The 22,753-nt window shown below is 43.8% G+C and overlaps 1 protein-coding gene across 8 annotated transcripts in view, besides 9 other annotated features; it reads right to left on the reverse strand.

The window, feature by feature from the left end:
* The window catches only part of SERINC5 (serine incorporator 5), a 144,824-nt gene that overhangs the window by 61,621 nt on the left and 60,450 nt on the right, over nucleotides 1-22,753 (reverse strand). For all 8 annotated transcript variants that reach the window (NR_126060.2, NR_126061.2, NM_001174071.3 and 5 more), the window contains 3 exons: nucleotides 5,041-5,219; nucleotides 4,470-4,552; nucleotides 2,109-2,202 (listed from right to left, as the gene is read on the reverse strand). Coding sequence is in view for 6 of the 8 variants with exons in the window: in NM_001174071.3 (NP_001167542.1) it covers nucleotides 2,109-2,202; nucleotides 4,470-4,552; nucleotides 5,041-5,219 (356 nt within the window). In the remaining 2 variants the exon portion in view is untranslated. The remainder of the gene's footprint in view (nucleotides 1-2,108; nucleotides 2,203-4,469; nucleotides 4,553-5,040; nucleotides 5,220-22,753) is intronic.
* Nucleotides 10,288-11,108: an enhancer, noted in NCBI's record as "OCT4-NANOG-H3K27ac-H3K4me1 hESC enhancer chr5:79478955-79479775 (GRCh37/hg19 assembly coordinates)". NCBI's record gives its function as "activates a minimal SCP1, AML or CMV promoter by ChIP-STARR-seq in naive H9 embryonic stem cells {active_cell/tissue: H9 hESC(naive)}" and the evidence as "EXISTENCE:reporter gene assay evidence [ECO:0000049][PMID:30033119]".
* Nucleotides 10,288-11,216: a biological region, named in NCBI's record as "Sharpr-MPRA regulatory region 551".
* Nucleotides 10,922-11,216: a silencer, noted in NCBI's record as "tiled region #551; K562 Repressive non-DNase unmatched - State 7:EnhWF". NCBI's record gives its function as "represses a minimal TATA promoter and a strong SV40 promoter by Sharpr-MPRA in K562 cells {active_cell/tissue: K562}" and the evidence as "EXISTENCE:reporter gene assay evidence [ECO:0000049][PMID:27701403]".
* Nucleotides 11,482-11,776: a silencer, noted in NCBI's record as "tiled region #2636; HepG2 Repressive DNase matched - State 5:Enh". NCBI's record gives its function as "represses a minimal TATA promoter and a strong SV40 promoter by Sharpr-MPRA in HepG2 cells {active_cell/tissue: HepG2}" and the evidence as "EXISTENCE:reporter gene assay evidence [ECO:0000049][PMID:27701403]".
* Nucleotides 12,753-13,574: an enhancer, noted in NCBI's record as "OCT4-NANOG-H3K27ac hESC enhancer chr5:79481420-79482241 (GRCh37/hg19 assembly coordinates)". NCBI's record gives its function as "activates a minimal SCP1, AML or CMV promoter by ChIP-STARR-seq in naive and primed H9 embryonic stem cells {active_cell/tissue: H9 hESC(naive and primed)}" and the evidence as "EXISTENCE:reporter gene assay evidence [ECO:0000049][PMID:30033119]".
* Nucleotides 14,714-15,544: an enhancer, noted in NCBI's record as "NANOG-H3K27ac-H3K4me1 hESC enhancer chr5:79483381-79484211 (GRCh37/hg19 assembly coordinates)". NCBI's record gives its function as "activates a minimal SCP1, AML or CMV promoter by ChIP-STARR-seq in primed H9 embryonic stem cells {active_cell/tissue: H9 hESC(primed)}" and the evidence as "EXISTENCE:reporter gene assay evidence [ECO:0000049][PMID:30033119]".
* Nucleotides 18,920-19,491: an enhancer, noted in NCBI's record as "OCT4-NANOG-H3K27ac hESC enhancer chr5:79487586-79488157 (GRCh37/hg19 assembly coordinates)". NCBI's record gives its function as "activates a minimal SCP1, AML or CMV promoter by ChIP-STARR-seq in naive and primed H9 embryonic stem cells {active_cell/tissue: H9 hESC(naive and primed)}" and the evidence as "EXISTENCE:reporter gene assay evidence [ECO:0000049][PMID:30033119]".
* Nucleotides 19,492-20,062: an enhancer, noted in NCBI's record as "OCT4-NANOG-H3K27ac hESC enhancer chr5:79488158-79488728 (GRCh37/hg19 assembly coordinates)". NCBI's record gives its function as "activates a minimal SCP1, AML or CMV promoter by ChIP-STARR-seq in naive and primed H9 embryonic stem cells {active_cell/tissue: H9 hESC(naive and primed)}" and the evidence as "EXISTENCE:reporter gene assay evidence [ECO:0000049][PMID:30033119]".
* Nucleotides 20,635-21,205: an enhancer, noted in NCBI's record as "H3K27ac hESC enhancer chr5:79489301-79489871 (GRCh37/hg19 assembly coordinates)". NCBI's record gives its function as "activates a minimal SCP1, AML or CMV promoter by ChIP-STARR-seq in primed H9 embryonic stem cells {active_cell/tissue: H9 hESC(primed)}" and the evidence as "EXISTENCE:reporter gene assay evidence [ECO:0000049][PMID:30033119]".

The raw sequence follows: 22,753 nt of genomic DNA on the forward strand, positions 1-22,753 counted from the left end.
TTAGAATATGAAGGACTTTCTTTCAGTTAATTTATGTTTACAGTCCATCCCAAAGTTAAATCTTCAACCCTAACCTTTCCCCTGAATGTCACTTATATTATCCCCTTGTTCATTTAACAATTGGAGACCCACTTGAAGGTCTAACTGGTATCTCAAACTTGGCACATCCAGGCTAAGGCTAACTTCCTGATATTGACACCCCCATTCCTCCATCCCCCAAACCTGCTATTGTGCAATTATCCCAACCTCAGAAAACAGCAACTCCAACTTCCCATTGTTAGGGGAAGAGGGAAAGAAAGAAAGAGGAAAGGAAAGAAAGGAAAGCAAAGAAAGAGGAAAGGAAAAGGAAAAGGAAAGGAAGAGGAAAGGCAGGAAGGAAAGAAGGAAGGAAGGAAGGAAGGAAGGAAGGAAGGAAGGAAGGAAGGAAGGAAGGAAGAAAATGAAATGAAATGAAATGAAAAGAAAAGAAGCCGGGTGCAGTGGCTCACGCCTGTAATCCCAGCACTTTGGGAGGCCGAGGTGGGCGGATCACCAGGTCAGGAGATCGAGACCATCCTGGCTAACACGGTGAAACCCCGTCTCTACTAAAAAATACAAAAAATTAGCCGGGCATGGTGGCAGGCGACTGTAGTCCCAGCTACTTGAGAGGCTGAGGCAGGAAAATGGCACGAACCCGGGAGGCGGAGCTTGCAGTGAGCCGAGATTGTGCCACTGCACTCCAGCCTGGGCGACAGAACGAGACTCTGTCTCAAAAGAAAAGAAAAGAAAAGAAAAGAACAAAAGAACTGTGGTCACTCTGGAAGCTTCTTGCTGCTCTCCCCTCCCCCACCCACCTCCACCCAGAGCTGGCTTTGGAACATAGGAGGATCCAGCTCCTTGCTACCACTTAGTTCCAGACTACTCCTCCCTCACCTGGATTGACTCCCCCTGACCTCCTTACTTGCACCCCTGACACCTTTTCACCTTTCTGCACTTAAAACAGATTATATTCCTCCCTTTTTAAGGCCCTCTGGTGCTCTCCCATCCCACTAAAAATCCAAAAAAAGTCTTTACACTCGACACCTAAAGCCCTTTGTTTCAATTCTAATAGAGAATTGACACTGTAAACCACAAAATTTGAGCTAGAAAGGAAAAAAAAAGAACACACCAGTTAGTCCAAACACATTATTTAAGTGTGAAAATGGAGGTCAGAGGGGCCGACTGATGAGCTCTACAGTGAGAACAAGCATTAAAAGGGGCACTGAAGCCGAACACAATGTCATCCCAGTACTTTGGGAGGCCAAGGCAGAAGGATCTCTTTAACCCAGGAATTCAAGATCAGCCTGGGCGACGTGGCGAAATCCCATCTCTACCAAGCAAACAAAAAAAGAAATTAGCCAAGTGTGGTGCCACATGCCTGTAGTCCCAGCTTCTCAGGGGGCTGAGGTGGGAGAATCACTGAAGCCTGGGAAATCGAAGCTGCAGTGAGCCATGATCACACAACTGCACTCCGGCCTGAATGACAAAGTGGGATCCCATCTCAAAAATAATAATAATAATAATAATAATAATAATAATAAAAGAAAAAGAAAACAAAAGGGTACTGAAATCTGCATCTCCTGGTTGCCAGGCCCATGACCTTTCTATCCTACTGTTTTTAGGATCATCTCCTTCTCAAGATATTTACAAAGAGATAAATGAAAAAGGGAAGAAAAGGTACTTTAGTTGTTCTATTAAGAGCAATGAGCACATTTTCTAGATTCTTATAAGCAAGAGTCTGTTAAAAAAACACAGCAAGGCCAGGTGCGGTGGCTCGAGCCTGTAATCCCAGCACTTTGGGAGGCCGAGGTGGGCGGATCACGAGGTCAGGAGATCGAGACCCGTACGAGCAGGGGATTGAGTGTGGCTAATTCACACCACTGGTTGACTCAGAGCCCAAGCAAGGGAGTAGGGGCAGGGGGTCAAAAAGTGAGAAGTGAATGAAGGAGAGGAGTAAATGAAGAGGTACAAAAAAGCAGGTATAAAGGGAAACAAAACTGCAAATCCCTAGCAATGCAGTTGAGTACAGCCTTGGTCAAAACTGGGCAGTTTCTGTGAGTCAATGGGAAGCTTTCCATAAAGGCACACACCAGTTCTTGTTCCACTTATGTGCAAACTCCACGAGCAGGAGGAGCTGGATGCCAATGAAGAGGAAGCCTCCGACGGCTCCCACATAGCGCCAGGCTGCAAAAGACCATGAAGAACACAATGAGGCAACCTTTCGTTGTATTTTGCTCAAAAGAGAATAACCACAGCTAATTTTTACTAGATGATCAGTGTACCTAACATATTTGTCACACAACCATATAAGATATGTATTACTATTATAAATGTCACTCACTTTACAGAAGAGAAAAATTGAGAATCTATGTAGGTTGACAACATCTCAGTCAATAAATGGTATAGTTGGGATCTGAACACAGGCAGTCTGACCCTGAAATATCCAAGCTTATCCTCCACACTACATCTGCCAGGTACCCTAATAGATGCCCTAATTCATAAAATCCATAATGACCCACAACTTAAAAGCAAACACATATTGCCAGGAAAATCAAAGGTTCAAATTTTATTGGGTAAAAAGTCAACAATGACCAGTAAAGAAACAAGGTTCAGACAGGGGACAAGGACTCGGTTCGACTTCTGGCTCTGCCACAAAGACGCTATAACCTTGAATAAGTCACATCACATGGGTTCCAATTTGTCTATAAAAATCACTGAGCTGGGGCTGGGCACAGTGGCTCATGCCTGCAATCCTAGCACTTTGGGAGGCTGAGGCAGGGGGATCACTTGAGGTCAGGAGTCGGAAACCAGCCTGGCCTACATGGTGAAACCCTGACTCTACTTAAAAAAAAACTCCAGGCATAGTGGCGGGTGCCTGTAATCCCATCTACTCAGGAGGCTGAGGCAGGAGAATCACTTGAACCTGTGAGGTGGAGGTCACAGTGAGCTGAGATTGCACCACTGCACTCCAGCCTGGGTGACAGAGCGAGACTTGGTCTCAAAAAAAAAAAAAAAAAAAAAAGGACTGAGCTTGGCCGGCCGCAGTGGCTCACACCTGTAAATCCCAGCACTTTGGGAGGCCAAGAGGGGGCGGATCACAAGGTCAGGAGTTTGAGACCAGACTGGCCAATATGGTGAAACCCCGTCTCTACTAAAAATACAAAAATTAGCCAGGCGTGGTGGTGCGTGCCTATAGTCCCAGCTACTCGGGAGGCTGAGGCAGAAGAATTGCTTGAACCCGTGAGGCAGAGGCTGCAGTGAGGCGAGATCGTGCCACTGCACTCTAACCTGGGCAACAGAGCGAGACTCTGACTCTGTCTCGAAAAACAAAAAAAAGACTGAGCTGGACCAGAGGGTTTCTAGGTCTCTTCTCCCTCCAAATATACATTCTAATACATAAAAGGATCTCTGTAGAGAATTTTAAAACTTTTAACAGTATTTTAGGTAACAGCAAGACTTAGGGAGTACATGAAAAACAAGTATGACCTTAAACAACTAGCTAGGCCCTGATACATAACTATATGAAGGATTATGGCTGTTCCTTATAAACTGACACAATCTAAATGTTTAGTTTAGTTTTGTTTTTGAGACAAAGTCTCACTCTGTCGCCCAGGCTGGAGTACAGTGGTGCAATCTCGGCTCACTGCAACCTCTGCCTCCCAGGTTCAAGCAATTCTCATGTCTCAGCCTCCTGAGTAGCTGGGATTACAGGCACACACCACCATGCCTGGCTAATTTTTATATTTTTTAGTAGAGATGAGGTTTCGCCATGTTGGCCAGGCTGGTCTCAGACGAACTCCTGGCCTCAAGTGATCCACCCACCTCAGCCTCCCAAAGTGCTAGGATTACAGGTGTGAGCTACCACGCCTGGCCTAAATGTTTTTAATACCTTACTTAGGAAAGTGAATCCATTTGGGTTGAACAAAATGCTCTGAACCACTGAAATTCAGGTTTTTCCCTCAGCTCATATGAAAAAGGGCGCCCTGTTTCAGCTATGATTAAAGGCTTCATATTAATGAATTAAAGCAGGTTCTAACAATAAAGAATATAATTCAATGCTACAGAGCTTCACATACGGTAAGTTTAATAACAGACTGAAAGATGCTTTTCCTGTCCCACTATCGCTGCAGCAGACATTTAGCTGCTGACAGCCCTGCGCTCCCTGTTGCTGGGTTTTCTGTGCAGTGCTTGGAAAGAACAAGGTCTCCCAGGCCAGCAGAGTATCAGAGTCCTCTTACACCCTACCTGGAAGTGGGATGCGGTGGTGAGAAGAGGGGAGGTAGATAGGCAATGATGGAAAAAGTATGGGCAGGTAAGTCAGGAATTTCTTTTGAAGCCAAAAGAAAATCAGTAATTCTAACTATCAGAGGTACTTTGGACTGCGCTTCTGAGCAATTTGACAAAATGGGTAAAAACAAAATAAACAGATACCCAAAATACCCCATTAGTACCGTTCAGAAAGGTGTCCTGATCTGGAATGAAGAAAGCTCCTGAGCACATGGCCCCCAACAGCAGAAGTTTAAAGAACCAAAAGCTAGAAGTGGGGGGAAAAAAAAGAGGAAATGTATTTAAATGACATTCAAGAAGGACAAAGGACCTCGTAGAAGGTACAGCATGTCAATCCATGATTCTGCCATTGGCCAATGTTCTCTCCTAATCAAGGGGAAGTAACTAGGTGACTTGAAGAATGCTTTTTCCCATAATTAGGCAGACTCAGTGCAGCCTCCAGTTGTGCAAAACACCATTTCATTGCAGGGGTGGAAATGACCTGGGGGAAGGTCTTGGAACAAGAAATAAACTCTTTGTCTTGAGTAAATTTCGCATCATGGTACCAGGTGTTACAAATAAGATTCTACCTTTGAGGCAACCATGTGGGTAAGTATCAATTCCACCTTCCCCTAAATCAACAATTTCAACTAGAAGAAGGGCAGTCACAGTGTCTGGTGGGCAGATGGGATCCTGGACTACTGTCCTGAACATAAGAAAGGAGAAAGCAATCCCCAAGAAGACTAAAATACTTACCCATTGTGAATATGAGCTCTACAACTTTTGCTGTTGTTGATTTTCAAGGTCAGTAGACAGAAGATAAAGAAGAAACAAGCCATTCCAAAACAGACTCTATACACGGCAGAATATCCCACCAGCTTCTCACAGGTGTCACCAGCTTTAATGCCTTTACACATATCTTCAAAAAAAGGAATCTGAGGAGAAAGTTTAGAAAAGTCATCTGTTACAACTGAGTGAGAGGTGGACTGTCACGGAGTGTTCATGCAGCCAACCACAACATCCACTGTGGAAATGGATCGTGTGCATAAAGAAACAGACTGAGGATCTATCTTCTAAAGAGATATTTTTCTAATTTTCTCTGAATCTTTTTTAAAGATACAGTGATCATAAAGTAACACTCAGCCTTTACTTGCCCCAAATGACTTCTGAAATCCAACATCAGATTTTACAAAAATTACCTTTTTTTTAACCGCCCCCACCCCCACCCCCACCCCACCCCCGACCCCAAGACAAGGTCTCTCTGGCTCTGTTGCCCGGCCTAGAGTTTAGTGGCACAATCACAACTCACTGCAGCCTCGATCTTCCAGGCTCAGGTAATCTTCCTGCCTCAGCCTCCCAATTAGCTGGGACTACAGGCACGCACCACCATGCCCAGCTAATTTTTGTATTTTTTTTTTTTTTTTTTTTTTTGTAGAGATGGGGTTTTGTCATGTTGCCCAGACTGGTCTTGAACTCCTGAGCTCAAGCAATCCACCTGTCTTCGCATCCCAAAGTGCTGGGATCATCATAGGTATGAACCACTGCACCTGGCCTAAAATCCCATTTCAATACATGGATATATTTTTGTTGATATGTATACATATATACAAATAAAAAATCAGAGACTTCTTTTACTATCCACCCAAAATGTCACTCCTCTCCCTCAGAAGAGTAAACAATTGGTGGGTAGAGTATTTGTATTAATTCACATACATAAATGTGTGTGTATACATATATACAACACACTCACATATACATATACATACACAACACACATACATACACTCATATCATACTATGCATATAATAAATATATTAAAACAGCTTTTTAAAATAAAAGATTGTATGTAATGTTCTGCAATATTTTTTCCCAATTAACAATAAGCTGGGCCAGACACGGTGGCTCATGCCTGTAATCCCAGCACTTTGGGAGGCCGAGGTGGGTGGATCACCTGAGGTCGGGAGTTTGAGACCAGCCTGGCCAACATGTGAAACCCTGTCTCTACTAAAAATACAATAATGAGCCCGGTGTGGTGGCTCGTGCCTGTAATCCCAGCTACTAGGGAGGCTGAGGCAGGAGAACTGCTTGAACCTGGGAGGCAGAGGTTGCAGCGAGCCGAGATCGTGACACTGCACTCTAGCCTGGGCAACAGAGTGAGACTCTGTCCCAAAAAAAGAAAACAAAAATAAACAATAAGCCATGAAGAGTCTTTCTCTATTAATACGCAAAATCCCATCACATTCTTTTTCATCACTATCTTATACTGTAAAAAGGCTTGATCAAAATCAATAACCATTCTCACACTGATCTTAATTTTTTGTTGGGGAGGGTTTTTAAATTTTATTTTTTGTACTTGTTTTTTATTATCACAAACACTAATTCAATAAATACTGCTGTTCATGCCTCACTGCACCTGTGCCATTATTTATGTAGGACAGACACCTGAGCTAGAAATGGAATTAGTAGGTCAAGTAGTCAGGTTGAATGTCCCTTATCCAAAATGCTTGGGACCAGAAGTCTTTCAGAATTTGGAATATTTACACTATATTACTGGCTAAGGTTCCCTAATCCAAAAAAATCCAGAATGCTTCAGTGAGCATTGCCTTTGAGTATCATGTTGGCACTTTAAAAGTTTCAAATTTTAGAGTATTTCACATTTCAGATGTTTGGATTAGGAATATTCAACCAGTATCTACATTTTTAAACTTCAAGATGAGTTAAATCATACTTTCAAAGGCTGTACCAATTTACATCCTACCAGTAATATCTGAGATTGCACATTTCCCAACTTGGACATCTAATTTAAAGGCAAAAACCCAATATCCTGTTTTAAGGTACATCTTCCTTATTACTAGTGAGATTCAGCATCTTTTCTCAAGTTTATGGCCATCTGTTTTTTTTCTCTGAATTGGCTGTTAATTGGGTATTTTCTTGATCCACTGGAGCTCTTTATTAGTGGGTCTTAATCTTCTGATAAATGTTGACAATAGCTTATTCTAGCCAAATTAGAAGACTTCCACATGAAATAATCAGTTTCATTATCAGAATAATTAAAATCTTACACAATGAGAACAAGCAGCACATTCCTAGTAATGTCATAAAATAAGGATTTGGTCAGTCATAAAAACTTGCTTCTTATCAACATCAAAGTTGAACACTCTTCTGAACAGAAAATAAATCACATTATAACTATTATTCATAAGAAAAATAAAGTATCACAGAGAAAAAATAGCACAAAACTGAAGGTAAAAGGAAAGTGTGATAAAGAAGATAATTTACAGTTTCTTCTCCAGAAAAAGATACTGAAGAAACAATAATATCTGTGGCTATCACGATTTCCATAAACAAATGTCAACCCAAATGAGAGACTGAGGCAAGAGTCTCAATGGGGAATAATTAAGCCAGAGCTTGAGGGGCTGCTGAGAAACACACAAATCACAGAATCCTCTGTGGCTGGCGCTCCCAAAGAGGTTGCTCGGTATTTACCCATTTCTTTAAAGGGGAGAAGGCATGCAGGAAAAGGGGGCAGGTGGTGAGGCAAATGCAACATTCTCCTGAGATTTTAACTAGTGCCCAGTAAACTCCGCTATAAAAGAGATATGATAAACATTCAAAAAGGGAGTAAAGGAAGAGTTAATTATGTAGTCTCAGGGTAGGCAGAGAAATGACTGCTGTCCTGTCTTTGTTCTGCACCTGGGAAGATAAGCTTGTAATGGGCATTGTCAGTGTGAAATGTAACAGACTGCAATTCCGTGGACAGGGAGCTAGACTTAGATTGCAGACCTAAAGTTACAGCTGACATGTCCTTTTTTATGGGAAGATACACATCTTGAAAGGTTTAGGGACCAGCAGAGAATTTACTTATGAGCAATTTGAGGGCAGTCATCCGGGATGCACGAGGCCTTCTGCCTTCTCCAGGGGTGTGGCTAATGCATAGCGCTTTGACACAAGGTTGGGAAGTCGCAGCTATCTACTGGGCAGGGGGGCAAGGTGCGAGGGGACAGCAGCAGTGTCACGTGACTGTCTCTCCAGTCTTAAGTTTCCATTTGGCATAAAGAGTTTGGGCAGTCCTGAGAGGGTTTATTTTCCTTTACACAAACAAACAAAGAGTTCCATTTTCTCCCCACTCCTTTTTGAGACAGGGTCTCACTCTGTACCCAGGCTGGAGTGCAGTGGCGCAATCTTGGCTCACTGCAACCGTCGCCTCCAGGGCTCAAGCCATCCTCCTACCTCAGCTTCCTGAGTAGCTAGGACTACAGGCATGCACCACCAAGCTCAGCTAATTTTGTGTGTGTGTGTGTGTGTGTGTGTGTGTACAGTTGGTGTTTCACCATGTTGACCAAACTGGTCTCGAACTCCTAGACTCAAGCAATCCACCTGCCTCAGCCTCCCAAAGTGCTGGGATTACAGGTGTCAGCCACTGTACCTGGCCAGCTCCATTTTCATGAAGACATGTGAAAGACTTCATGAGGAAATAGCCAACATTTTGTTTTCAGCAAATTCCTAAAACTGTACATTTTTTATGACTTTTTTTTTACACCATTTTGTCACAACAGAGACAAGATGTTTTGCTTGATAAAGACTGCATCCAACCAGATAAGTAGATAAACAAGCACAGTCTTCAACTATCAGTCCTCACTGGAGGACTCTGTGGCCATAAAAAGGGTAGGTACGGTTCTAACTCGTGACAAGCACCTGGCATCTGCCCCGAAGGCTCTGCCCACATCAAAGACTGTTTCTTGCACAACCAACCAGATTAACCAGCCCAGACCAGGAAATTCTTTTTTTCTTTATTGCTCTCCCTGGACTACTTCATTAACCCTTTTCCTATTCCCTTTCTCTTAATGTTAAATGTTATTTTGTTTGTTGCACAATGTTTAATCAGTAACATTTATATATTGACAGAGTATACGATTGTGTACGGTTTGCAATACTGACTGGCTGGTGCAGAGGCTGGAACCTGTGTGCCTGCAGATCTAATGAGTGGATGAGAAGTACTAAGAAGAATTGGCTCCCTGGGAACTCCACATAGCTGGTGGCTTTTGTAACTGAAATAGCATCAGTTAAGTCCAACATTATGGAAAGACACAAATGTTCGTGGACCTGGTTACCTCTGACCTTGGCGTCACTCACAAAAACCAAGATATGCCACCCTAAAACATTCTTCTTTGCGTATTTCAAGCTCGTTATTCTGAGAAGCTGAAGACACAGGAGTAGCTCTGCAAAGCTGCTGTTTTATACAAAAAATTTACATCTGTAGAGGAAATCTACATTAGTAAAGTGTATCAGACGTTTATTCACCATACATTTCTTCCCCTCACTCTCCCATTACGTGTTGCCAGCAACTCCCAGAGGCCCCAAGCCCCTATTCCTCTCTGTAGCTCAACATGCCATAAGCTTCTATCATCTGACCGCCCCCCCCCCCTCCGCTTTTTTTTAATTGAGACCTCTGTTGCCCAGGCTGGAGTGCAGTGGCGCAATCTCGCCTCACTGCAACCTCTGCCTCCCAGGTTCAAGTGATTCTCCTGCCTCAGCCTCCAGAGTAGCTGGGATTACAGGCGCCTGCCACCACGCCTGGCTAATTTTTGTATTTTTAGTAGAGATGGGGTTTCACCATGTTGGCCAGGCTGGTCTTGAACTCCTGGCCTCAAATGATCCGCCCACTTCAGCCTCCCAAAGTTCTGGGATTACAGGCGTGAACCACCATGCCCAGCCTATCTGACCCTTTTTAAAATTGCTTTTTCTCCTGTAATTGGTCTTATGTCAATTTAATTTGCTTCCAGAGAAAGAACCTAGAAGAGTGGAAGGAAGCCATTTTTCCCTTCTCTACAAAGGCAAGGTCTTGCTGGGAAGGGCCAGGTGCATGCCAGACTTAGCAGTCAGGCCCCCATCCTGTAAGCAAGGGGAAAAGCACTACTGAAGCTAGAACACCTTTGGCTACAAAGTGGAAGACGTGGTGAAAGGGTACAGACTTGAGGCAAGGGGACAAGTTTGAAGGCCACTGGGAACAGGTGAAGAAGGTAACCCCAGGCAGAGAAACCAGAGATTCTGCAGGTAGAGCTCACAATTGGCAGGAGAGCACAGATGACAAGAATGAAGCACAAGAATGAGACAAAGCTGTTTTGTTTTCTTCTTTTTTTATGGCATTGCCGTTTGGGGTGGAGGGAGGGTGGAGGGCAGAGGACAGACAGCAGAAGTGAAGAACAAAGCAGGAGTTTGCTCTTTAACACCTTAGGGCATCACCAAGGGGTATCCCAGCGAGAACAGTCTGGTCTGGAAATTGCTTTAGAACAGCAATTGGGGCTGGATACAGGAAGTGTCAGGCCTCTGAGCCTAAGCCAAGCCATCTCATCCCCTGTGACTTGCACGTATCCCCTGTGACTTGCACGTATACGCCCAGATGGCCTGAAGTAACTGAAGAATCACAAAAGAAGTGAAAAGGCCCTGCTCTGCCTTAACTGATGACATTCCACCATTGTGATTTGTTCCTGCCCCACCTTAACTGAGTGATTAACCCTGTGAATTTCCTTCTCCTGGCTCAGAAGCTCCCCCACTGAGCACCTTGTGACCCCCGCCCCTGCCCACCAGAGAACAACCCCCTTTGACTGTAATTTTCCATTACCTTCCTAAATCCTATAAAACGGCCCCACCCCTATCTCCCTTCGCTGACTCTCTTTTCGGACTCAGCCCGCCTGCACCCAGGTGAAATAAACAGCCATGTTGCTCACACAAAGCCTGTTTGGTGGTCTCTTCACACCGACGCGCATGAAAGGAAGCACCCGCAGGCGGGTAATGAGAAGTCAGTCACACAGGTGCTTTCTGGAGGAACCTCAATTTTTAGCTGTGTTTAAACATGAGTGATGAAACAGCATGGTTAAAATTTTCAGGTGCTGAAATATGGTAGGGGACACACACAAAAATGAATGTTTCAGAGAGTCTAACCCAAAACAAAAGTTACACCTGTATGAGTAGTGCCAGTAACGAGGAGGTAATATTGCTTTGAATCTCTAAAAGCTACATTCATGGAGAAGCCATACCACTTCATTCATTAGGCTGTTTCATTTACACAGGATTTATTGCTCTAAAACATTCCCTAAATTATTTTCTTCCCCACCTTCTCTCTTCTACTCCATCAGCAACTCTAATTCCTGAACCACATCTTCCCCATAACACATGCACATTAGCACCTCTTTCATCTATACCAGCCCATCTTTCACCTTTAGACCTTCTCTGCCTCCCTACCTCTTTTTTCTTCCTCCAAAATCCATTTCAAGGAGAATGCTAACAGCAGCAGGCTGAGCCACCATCCCCAACAAATCCCCTCCCTTGTTTGCTTACTCCAGAATCTGGAATGCGGCCAGGGCCCTTTAAGGCTCATCACAGGGTGAGTACATTGACACTGTATATTCATCAAAAACAGGTAAACAACCCCCCTGCTCCAAATCCTAATCAAGACCTCCTTTATACTCTGTGGGTGACTTAGCACATTTAGTTTTCAGTATGTGGTAAGTATTTTTGGGCAAAGAACCTCCAAGGTGAACAAGCTAGCAGGATTCTGGCAAGGGGAATTTGCTCCGATTAAATATTTGCTGTTCCAAAGTCCACCCCATTTTTGGAAAAAGAAAAAATACATCACATACAAATTCCACACCACAGGGTGAAAGGAATGTGCCTGCTAAGGGTGTTACCTCTTAAGTCTGGCTCTGGGCACCCAAGGACAGGGCACTTAAGCCAGGCTCACACACTGTATGTTGTTTCTTTTTTTTGATGCAGTCTTGCTCTGTTGCCCAGGCTGGAGTGCAGTGGCGCAATCTCGGTTCACTGCAACCTCTGCCTCCCAGGTTCAAGCGATTCTCCTGTCTCAGCCTCCCAAGTAGCTGGGATTACAGGCATACACCACTATGCCCAGCTAATTTTTGTATTTTTAGTAGATGGGGTTTTGTCATGTTGGCCAGGCTGGTTTCAAACTCCTAACCTCAGGTGATCTGCCTGCCTCGGCCTCCCAAAGTGCAGGGATTACATGCGTGAGCCACCGCATGCAGGCTGTATGTTGTTTCTATACAGACCCCTGAGAACAAGGCGTTTCCCTCCAACCCTCAAAGCAACCAAACTCAAAGCCACAAACTATCAAGTAAGAATAAACAGCTCATAAGACTTCCATTCCTAACTCCACTGCTAACTTGAGCTAGCTACACACATACACACCCTGAGCCTCAGTTGTGCCATCTGTAAAATGAAACAATACCGACACCCATTTCATGGAGTTGCCTGAGAATTACATCAGATAACACCTGTGAAGTGCTTACCACGGTTCCTAACCCATAGTAGTCATTAAGTTAACTTCTTTAATTCTAAAGCACTATTATGTTATATTTCATGCGCGTCCGTGTGAAGGGACCACCAAACAGGCTTGTGTGAGCAATAAAAGCTTTTAATCACCTGGGTGCAGGCGGGCTGAGTCCGAAAAGAGAGTCAGCAAAGGGAGATAAGGGTGGGGCCGTTTTATAAGATTTGGGCAGGTAAAGGAAAATTACAGTCAAAGGGGGTTCGTTCTCTGGTGGGCAGGAATGGGAGTCGCAAGGTGCTCAGTGGGGGAGCTTTTTGACCCCGGATGAGTCAGGAAAAGGACTTTCACAAGGTAATGTCATCACTTAAGGCAAGGACCGGCCATTTACACTTCTTTTGTGGTGGAATGTCATCAGTTAAGGCGGGGCAGGGCACATTCACTTCTTTTGTGATTCTTCAGTTACTTCAGGCCATCTGGGCATATACCTGCAAGTCACAGGGGATGCGATAGCTTGGCTTGGGCTCAGAGGCCTGACATTATATAAAAATAATTTCGGGGAAGAGACTCAGGTACATTACATGATCCACAAACTAATGCATTCCGATTTAAACATGGTGGGAAACTGAACATCTTAGAATTAGTAGATGCTCTATTCACTTTACCAAAGGATCTACTACCTTTGGATTGAAAGATTAACTTTCTTGTTTTGAAAAAAAAAAAAAAAAAAAAAAAAAAAAAGACAGAGTTTCACTCTTGTCGCCCAGGCTGGAGTACAGTGGTGCGATTTCAGCTCACTGCAACCTCTGCCTCCCAGGTTCAAGTGATTCTCCTGCCTCAGCCTCCCGAGTAGCTGGGATTACAGGTGCCTGCCACCATGCCTGGCTAACTTTTTGTATTTTTAGTAGATATGGGGTTTCACTATGTTGGCCAGGCTGGTCTCGAACTCCTGACCTCAGGTGATCCACCCGCCTCGGCCCCCTAAAGTGTTGGGATTACAGGCGTGAGCCACCGCGCCCGACCTGTCAGTAAGGTGAATCTTTCCTTGGTACATTTATATTAGAACTGAGGTCCAAAAAATAGCACTCACTACTTGTCCTTCAGAGACCTAGCCACCATCCAGAAGAAAGCATTCTGAACTCACAAATTAGGAAAAACATTTCCAAAACATGAAAACAAGTAATAAACTCAACAAGATGCAAGGGAGAAGAAAATTCACGTAATTTTGTTTACACAGGAGAGATGCTAGCTATGTCCCTAAAACAACTTCAATCCCAGGCAAATAAACAACAAAAAAGCTACAGGAAGACCTACAGGTCTAATTGGCCAGGGGCCCAGATGCTACAAACATAGAAAACATGTATAAGTTTTGGGAGTGGCTTCTTAAGAAATGGAGAGGAAGTAGGTGAAAGTTGTAGTTGTGTAATCGTGTTACTTGAGATTAGAAAATGCAATATTAGGCCAGGCGCGGTGGCTCACGTATGTAATCCCAGCATTTGGGGAGGCCAAGGCGGGCGGACTGCCTGAGGTCAGGAGTTCGAGACCAGCCTGGCTAACATGGTGAAACTCCATCTCTACCAAAAATACCTAAAAATACAAAAATTAGCCAGGCGTGGTGGCACACGTCTGTAGTCCCAAGTACTCAGGAGGCTGAGGCAGGAGAATAGCTTGAACCCAGGAAGAAGAGGTTGCAGTGAGCTGAGATCACGCCACTGCACTCCAGCTTGGGTGACAAAGCAAAACTCCATCTCAAAAAAAAGAAAAAAGAAAATGCAATATTAGCAAAGCTAATTATTCTTACATTTCATTATATTAATATCAAATTTCAAAGAAAGCTTTGGGCAGCTCCACATGAGGGATAAATTAGGTTCACAAAAACTAGAAGAACTAGATTTGCAAGTTCTGTTTAATATCCCTCACTTGAAAATGCATTTCAGAACCTAGAATGTCTCCCAGTCTGCCTTTCCCTTTTCTGATATTCCACTCATCTTCAAACTTTCCAGGATAGTTTGTTTTTCTCCATGAAGTACTTCCAGGGTCCACCACACTGATGACTTCCTGTTATTGGTCAGTGGACAACAGCCATGAAATGGGAAACACTAAAATCAGCTTCCCTCTTTCCTTACACAGCCTCTTGGCAACCAAAGCTCATTTCTCAGTAAGTGATTGCCTTTGAGGCCCTTTGGGGGATCTGGGGCTATTTAATAAACAATAACAACAACCAGTACTGGCTTCTCTTTTCTTTGGGTTATCTGAGCATTTTTAATAGAAAAATCTACATTGTATCATTATTAAAAGCCAAAAGATGAATGAAAATTAATCTCAAAAAGCATGCAAAGACTGAGAATGCGAGTTCACAGCTCCTCCTCCACCATGAATATTTTGTCAGAATCAAACAGTCACAGATAGGATTAAGCAGCCAGAAAGCAACTCTAAGCAAACCGTTATACAATAAGCTCCAAAGGAGACAACTCCCAGAAGACTGACTAATTAATTACTATGGGAAGAAGGGCTCCTCCACAGATGCAGAACAGGATTCAACTCATTTCAATCTCCATTGAGAGAATTAGGTAAAACTGAAGGCAGAAGGCTGGGTGCGGTGGCTCACGCCCATAATCCTAGCACTTTGGGAGGCCGAGGCAGGTGGATCATGAGGTCAGGAGTTCGAGACCAGCCTGGCCAAGATGGTGAAACCCCGTCTCTGCTAAAAAATACAAAAATTAGCCAGGTGCATGGCGGGCACCTGTAATCCCAGCTACTCGGGAGGCTGAGACAGGAGAATCGCTTGAACCCGGGAGGCGGGGTTTGCAGTGCGCTGAGATCCCACCACTGCACTCTAGCCTGGGCGACAGAGCAAGACTCCGTCTCAAAAAAAAAAAAAAAAAAAAAAATCTAACTGCAAAGGATTATTCTCAATTTTATTTGCACTTATATAAGCAAAACAATTATATATTTTACTGCCAAAATGTGTAAATTACAATAAAAATACAAATAACCCAGTGTCCTTGCCCATCAATGCCTCAATTCTAACTTGATTGCTTCCCTAGAGGTGCCACTGTCCCCAGGTGTGAGTGGATCTTTCTAGACCCTTTGCTGTGCCATTATTCTACATTCATTATGTCTTGGAGGTTGCTGTATGTTTAACAGATAAATCTATTTGCATCTTCTTACATACTACATAGAATTCTAGGCTGGGCCCAGTGGCCCACACCTGTAATCTGAGCACTTTGAGAGGCCAAGGCAGGAGGATCACTTGAGCCCCGGAGTTCAAGACCAGCCTGGGCAGCACAGTGAGAGACCCCGTCTCTACAAAAAGTAAAAAAATTGGCCAGGCATAGTGGTGCACGCCTGTAGTCCCAGTTACTCAGGAGGCTGGGGTAGGAGCATCTCTTGAGCCCAAGAGTTTAGGAGACTGAGGTGGGAGGATCACTTCAGCCCAGAAGGTTGAGGCTGCAGTGAGCCATGATCGCGCCACTGCACTGCAGCCTAGCCAACACAGCAAAACCCTGTCTCAGAAAAATAGATAAAAATTTAGAATTCTACAATCTGATTGACTCTAATTTAGTTTGTTATCCTGCTGATAGGCATTTAGTTTTTTTCTGATTTTTTCTCACTATTATAAATAATGTACAATGGATATCATCCTTATTATGTGTATCTCTCTGTTCACATGTAAAGTGTTGAGAAGGACAGAAGCTAAAGTCAGCTTTATGACAGAAGTCATAAAGTTAGTACATTTAAAATTTGAACGGATACTGCCAAACTCTCCATAAGAAGGGTTTTGGAAACTCTGGAATTAGGGGTAATAGAGCAGAAGAGAGGAGGAGTGGAGGTGCCGGCAAGAGAGGCAGAGCTGGGGACACACCATCTCTCAGCCAGGTACTCCTGTGCTGCCCCGGCAAGGTCAACATGTCAATCTTCCAGATTCCTGAGGGCCTTTGTAAGCAATGCCCCTACAACCAAAGCCGGGAAGAGAGTGAATAGGACCCTCTGAGCCAAAGACACAAATCTATTTCTAACTCAAGACAACTTAAAACCACAGCTACGGAGGTCTGAACTTTCGTTTCGGCTAGAAAATACGGCTATGGCCCCACACAGAATACAGGGTCTAACAGAAGACACTGTGCTGCCCTGAGGTGAACACGGCTGATGGAAAGATATCTCTTGAACATAGAAATGTGAAATTTCTATAAAGAGAGGACTAAATGCTGAAACATGCAGGTCTTTCTATTCTAACCATTTAGAGAAAACACATGCTTATAGTCTAAGTGAGCCTCAAATCTGCTAGTTTCTTTTTTTTTCTTTTCTTTTAATAGAGAAGGGGTCTTGCTCTGTCCCTCAGGCTGGAGTGCAGTGGCACAATCATAGCTCACTGCAGCCTCAAACTCCTAGACGCAAGCCATCCTCCCACTTCAGCCTTCCCAGAAGCTGGGACTAGAGGTGCATGCCAACACATCCGCTACTTTTTTACTTTTTGTAGAGACAGGGTTTTAACTATGTTGCACAGGCTGGTCTCAAATTCCTGGCCTCACAAGATCCTCCCACTGCAGCATCCCCACACTGCTGGGATTATAGGTGGGAGCCACCTCACTCAGCCAAAATTAGCTTGCTTTCTTCTTAAATGTGTGGACCTGAACGCAGTGGTAATACATTATTTGCAAGTTCAACTATTTACATAACTGTCTCCCGTACTTTTTTTTTTTTTTTTTTTTTTTGAGACAGGGTCTCACTCAGTCACCCAGGCTAGAGTGCAATGGCACAATCTCGGCTCACTGCAACCTCCACCTCCCTGGCTCAAGCAATCCTCCCATCTCAGCCTCCTGGAGCAGCTAGGACTACAGGTGCACACCATGACACCTGACTAATTTTTGTATTTTTTGTAGAGACGGGGTTTCGTCATGTTGCCCAGGCTGGTCTCGAACTCTTGGCTCAAGTGATCCTCCCATCTTGGTCTGCCAAAGTGCTGGGATTACAGACATGAGCATATAATTTGTAAAAATCCAGTGAATTTAGAGTTTGCATGTATAATCTTCATTCCGTACTATATGTTACATGACATACACATGTATTACAGCCTAGAGTTTGAGCATCCACGCACTCATTCCCAACTACTATGTGCAGGTATTGCTCTAAACTAGGGGGATACGAGCTGTGAATAAAACAGTTTAAAAGTTCATGCTAAAAAGAGCTAACGTTCTACTAGTGAAATGCTGTATGCACAAAACTATGCTCTACTTGATGGATATTTGAAGTATTTTCATGGTTAATTCGGACTAGTCATGATGTTTGCCTTAGGCAGGACATTAGGACCTAATGTTCCCCAAAAGATAGGACTCTACACCAAACCTATAACCTCAAGATTTGAGAGCCCCATTACCTGTTCCCCAGTTCTAGTGATGGGAACCAGTACATGGCAGACATTTAAGTTTCCGGCCCCAGCATCTTTCTTATATCAGACCTGGAATTGAATGATGGTGCCCAGCAGCTGGGGAACTAGGGTGCCCAGACCCTCATTTTCTCCAACCCCACTTCTTCCTGGATCACCAAATGCTTGGTTTGGATTGTTAAAGTTTAGGAGAGGCCATTGTTTTTGACTCCTGCACTAGGCCCCAGCAGACCAGACCGAACCAAAATGAAGCCACTTGTACTAAGTGCCACTGAATTTGGGGGCCAGTTTTCTTTAAAAACAAAAACCAAAAAAAAAAACCACTGAAAGATTCTAGTCAATGTGAGTCTGCCTAATAAGGAAATCCTCTGTTTTAACCTTTTGTTCTGTTTCTGCTTTTTTTCAAGCCTTTTCTGCCTATAAAGACACCCTCCTCTGCTCAGCTAACTGGAACAGTCGTTCTACTTCACATTCTAGAATCACAAATAAAATCCAATTCAACTTTCCAACTAAATTTGTAATTTCGTCCTTTGACAGAATATATAAAAAGATGACTGGCTGGGCACAGTGGCTTACACCTATAATCCCAGCACTTTGGAAGGCTGAGGCAGGAGGATCGTTGCTTTGAGCCTAGGAGTTTGAGACCAGCCTGGGCAACATAGGGAGACTCCATCTCTACAAAAAAAAAAAAAAAAGAAAAAAAAAAAAGAAAAATTAGCCAGGCATCGTGGTGCACATCTATGGTCCCGGTTACTCAGCAGGCTGAAGCAGGGAATCACTTGAGCCCCAGAGGTTAAGCCTGCAGTGAGCCATGATCGTGCCACCACATTCCAGCCTGGGCAACAGGGCAAGGCCCTGTCTCTAAAAAAAAAAAAAGAAAGAAAAAAAAAAAGACTTTTTTTTTTTTAACTTGTAAACAATTTGCCATTTATTCCAAAATGCCATATAGACATAATTACTATTAAACATGTCATACTAATTTATTGCCACATTATTCTTACCTAGTCTACCCACTATGTGGTTCATACAGCCTAGTCAGTTACCTGCAACTTAAGCAAGAACTCTGGTACTCTGAGCACAATGTTCAGGTCACTGACGTTTCCCTTTTGAGAGAGATGGGAGAATAACTGCACATAACGCATATAAGACCATGGAGGGTCTAACACAGGAGTCAGCCAACGACAGCCAGTGGGTCAAATCCAGCTAGCCTCCTAGTTTTATTGGAACATAGCCACACTGGTTGGCTGGCCATGCCATTGGCTGGCATATTGTTTTGGCTGCTTTTGCACTACAAAGGCGAGAGCTGCTACAGAGACCACAGGGCCTCCAGTGTGTACTAGCTGGCTCTTTGTAAGAAAAGTCTGCCCCACCCCTGCGCTACTAGGAAGAATAGATGAGGAGTTGTGGCTAACTGTTAACTGCCTAAGTACAAATGCACATTTCAAAAGCAAGTGACAACTGGTGATAACTTACTCTACAAATCAAGAGCCAAAAGAGCAGCTCCTTTGGGCTGCGGTCCAGCTGTCCCAACCCTCCGCTCCTGCCTTCTCCCATGAGACTCTTCCCTTCCTCAGGGCTGTCCTCAAATGGAACTTGGGCCTTAAGTGAATCAAACTGTGTATCTCCCATATGTCATTTTTTTTTTTTTAGCAGAAAATAAAGTACCTTAATTTATCCACCCACAGAAAGTTTTTCAGATGGGGTGGGAAGGAATGGAGAGAGAATGTGTCTATGAGCTTCCAGCGCTCATCTCTGCGGCTCAGAAGCCATCAATAGCTCGAACAGAAAACGTCCTCACATCTGTCACACAAACACACCCCATGGAACCAAAAATAAACCCCACACTGATGAAAGCCAGCATGTCGAAAGATAATTTTAGATCTATTTGAAGACTGCAGAGACTGTCTCGCTGAAATTTTAAAACCACACCACCAGAATACCCAACCCCTTATGATTATGCTCAGCCCTGATGAGGAGGCAAAAACACTTCATTCCATTTTATAAACCTCCCAGGCACCTCAGCTCTGTCTCTAGAATGGGGAGAGAGCATTCCTGAGTTACCACGTGACTCCGAAGGTCAGCCGAGTCACATCTGAGCCAACACCACTGTCCAATATTCACTAATGGAGTTCACATATTTTTAGCTTTCAGACATACACAGTCTAGCATCACAGGCTCCTTCCAGACACACTTGCCAAACTGCTCTCTTTTCCCCTACCTGAGGGCCAGCTCTATGGGGACAATAACTGTGTGTTACTCAGTGTCTCTGAAATCCCCAGCACCTTTCAGAGTGCTCGCCACTTGCATCTGAAAGAATGACAGCTAGGCAATTTTTTAAACTTTTGAAGAATGAGCTCGGATTACAGTTTAATCAAGTCACAGAATCATCCTATTAAATTTCTATGCAGAGTAAGTATCAAGATTCAGCCATTCACAATATCTATGCATTGTTTCCTGTTCCCATCGCTCTGAGGCTACTTTTTCTTCCATTCTTCGTTGTGCCATTTCTCTGTTCTCTCCAGCCCCATGTTTATGATGGCTGACAATGCTCATTTCCAAAGCTTTTGTCTGTTCTATTTATCTGCAGGCTACTCCGAGGCCCTGTCTGTGGACAGTTGCTTAACAGACGCTTTAGATGACTACAGAAAAAAACGTGTTAGGAAAACTTTCATTCTCACATCTTATCATTCTCTCTCGTCCATAGCCAGACCAATCCTAAAAGAGATCCAGCTGACACCTGGTGCTCCCGCAAACGTGCAGGTAATGGATCCTCACAGACCAAGGACAGTATGTATTGTTTCCAATTTCCTGCCTCCTGGCAAGCTCATTATTACTGGACCAGGATCAAACCTCTTTGTCCTTGGTTCAGGCTCAAAAAAAGACTCTCAGCAGAATATCCATTAGTTCAAATTGCTGCCTCCAGTACAAAACGATTTCCCACCACTACTTCCCGACATCCACTTGTATGGGGAAGGATAAGGCCCAGCAATGACAGCTGAGGCATAGGAGGGTACAGGGACTCCTTGCTTTCTCTCACATGTTATCTCCGGATGAAATTTAGACCAAAAGATAAAACCGTTTGGAAACATATGTCTCCAGAGTCATCCTAACTTGGAGGGGAGGGAACTCAGAGGATTTAAGAGGCAAAACCTCAAAGCCAGCTCCCCAGAGGAAAATTCTAAAAGGTCATGGTGAGAATTTTCCCTCAGTTCTACAATGGGCTTGAGGTTCGATGGTCCCAACCCACTTTTAATCTCAAAAACTTCCTCCTTGATAACTTGACACATAAGGTACAACAGTACCATGAACTCAGTTGCTACGCAGAAAGAGAACTTTTGAAAAGCACTCCATCTCAGCTGGATTTTAAAAAAGCATTCCAGAATCAAAGAACTGGGTCAGCAATATTTTCTTGTTATTGTTAATTTGACACTTGTTCTGACACAAAAGCATATAAGCGGAGAATGGAGAGAGTTCTACTTGAGGCTTCAATGTGCCTATGCCAGCCCCTGATGCAGGTCTCAGGTACAGTGTGCTCTGAACATTCAACCAGTAAATATCAAAGGAAAATCAAGAGCCAGACTCTCCAGCTTCAGCATGAAGACCTGTCATTTTACATTGGGACAAACTGCACAGTATTTTGGATCAAAGCGGAATATTTTTCACTGATGATGTTTGTTTTAAAAAGATGGTTATACCAAACACAACCTGAAAACAAGTTCTATTTTACATGTAAAGCCACTGAATAAATAAATACTAGTTTTGTGGCTACCTCTGTTTTCTACTTCAGAATAACAGTCATCCCTTGAGCTCAGCTTTTGGTCATCACAACAGGAAGCAGGCAGATGGGAAATGTAACTAAGCTAAGATCGCTGCTGAGGGCCCCAGGCAGCGCTATTTCCAAAAGTAATACTTCTTACCACTGGGCCCAGAAGAAAGTCTAGAAAGCGGAGGAAGGATATGCTTGATAAAAGGCATTTAACTGTGACTTCTGTGAATATCTGACCAACAAGCAAACCTAGTTGCACAAACAGGAGATGCACTGGCCAGGCGACCAGCAGCCCTGGGTTCTAATCCCAGATATACCTGGTGTCTCAGTTCTGACAAGCCACTTCACTTCCTGGGCCACAGCTCCTCACCTGTCAAACGACAGGTTTGTTAAGATGACCACTTAGGACTTTTCTGCTTTTAAAAATTCTTAACAATGGGCCAGGTGTGGTGGCTCACACCTGTAATCCCAGCACTTTGGGAGGCGGAGGCAGGTGGATCACCTGAGGTCAGGAGTTCGAGACCAGCCTGACCAACATTGAGAAACCCTTTCTCTACTAAAAATACAAAATTAGCCGAGTGTGATGGTGCATGCCTGTAATCCCAGCTACTCGGGAGGCTGAGGCAGGAGAATCCCTTGAACCTGGGAGGCAGAGGTTGTGGTGAGCCAAGATCATGCCATTGCACTCCAGCCTGGGCAACAAGAGTGAAACTCTGTCGCAAAAAAAAAAAAAAAATTCTAACAATGTATTCAAATTATATCCTAAGCAATATATCAATGTAACAAAATTACACTTGTACCCCCATAAATTTATACAAATTTTAAAAATAAATTATATCCTAAAAAGATCATTGTTTTCTCTGTAGAACACTTAACACCACACGTATTTGCTGTCTCTTCTCAAGGCAGAACACTTGCTATACATACGAGCTGCAGCCTTTTTCCACTCATCTCTTTAACTCGCTCCTTTAAGGGGCCTTGTTTCAGGCATTTTTGGATCCCTGGAACCAGTACAAGAAGGGCTTCCCACAA

Source organism: Homo sapiens, chromosome 5 (genome assembly GCF_000001405.40).
Source record: "Homo sapiens chromosome 5, GRCh38.p14 Primary Assembly".
NCBI lineage: Eukaryota > Metazoa > Chordata > Mammalia > Primates > Hominidae > Homo > Homo sapiens.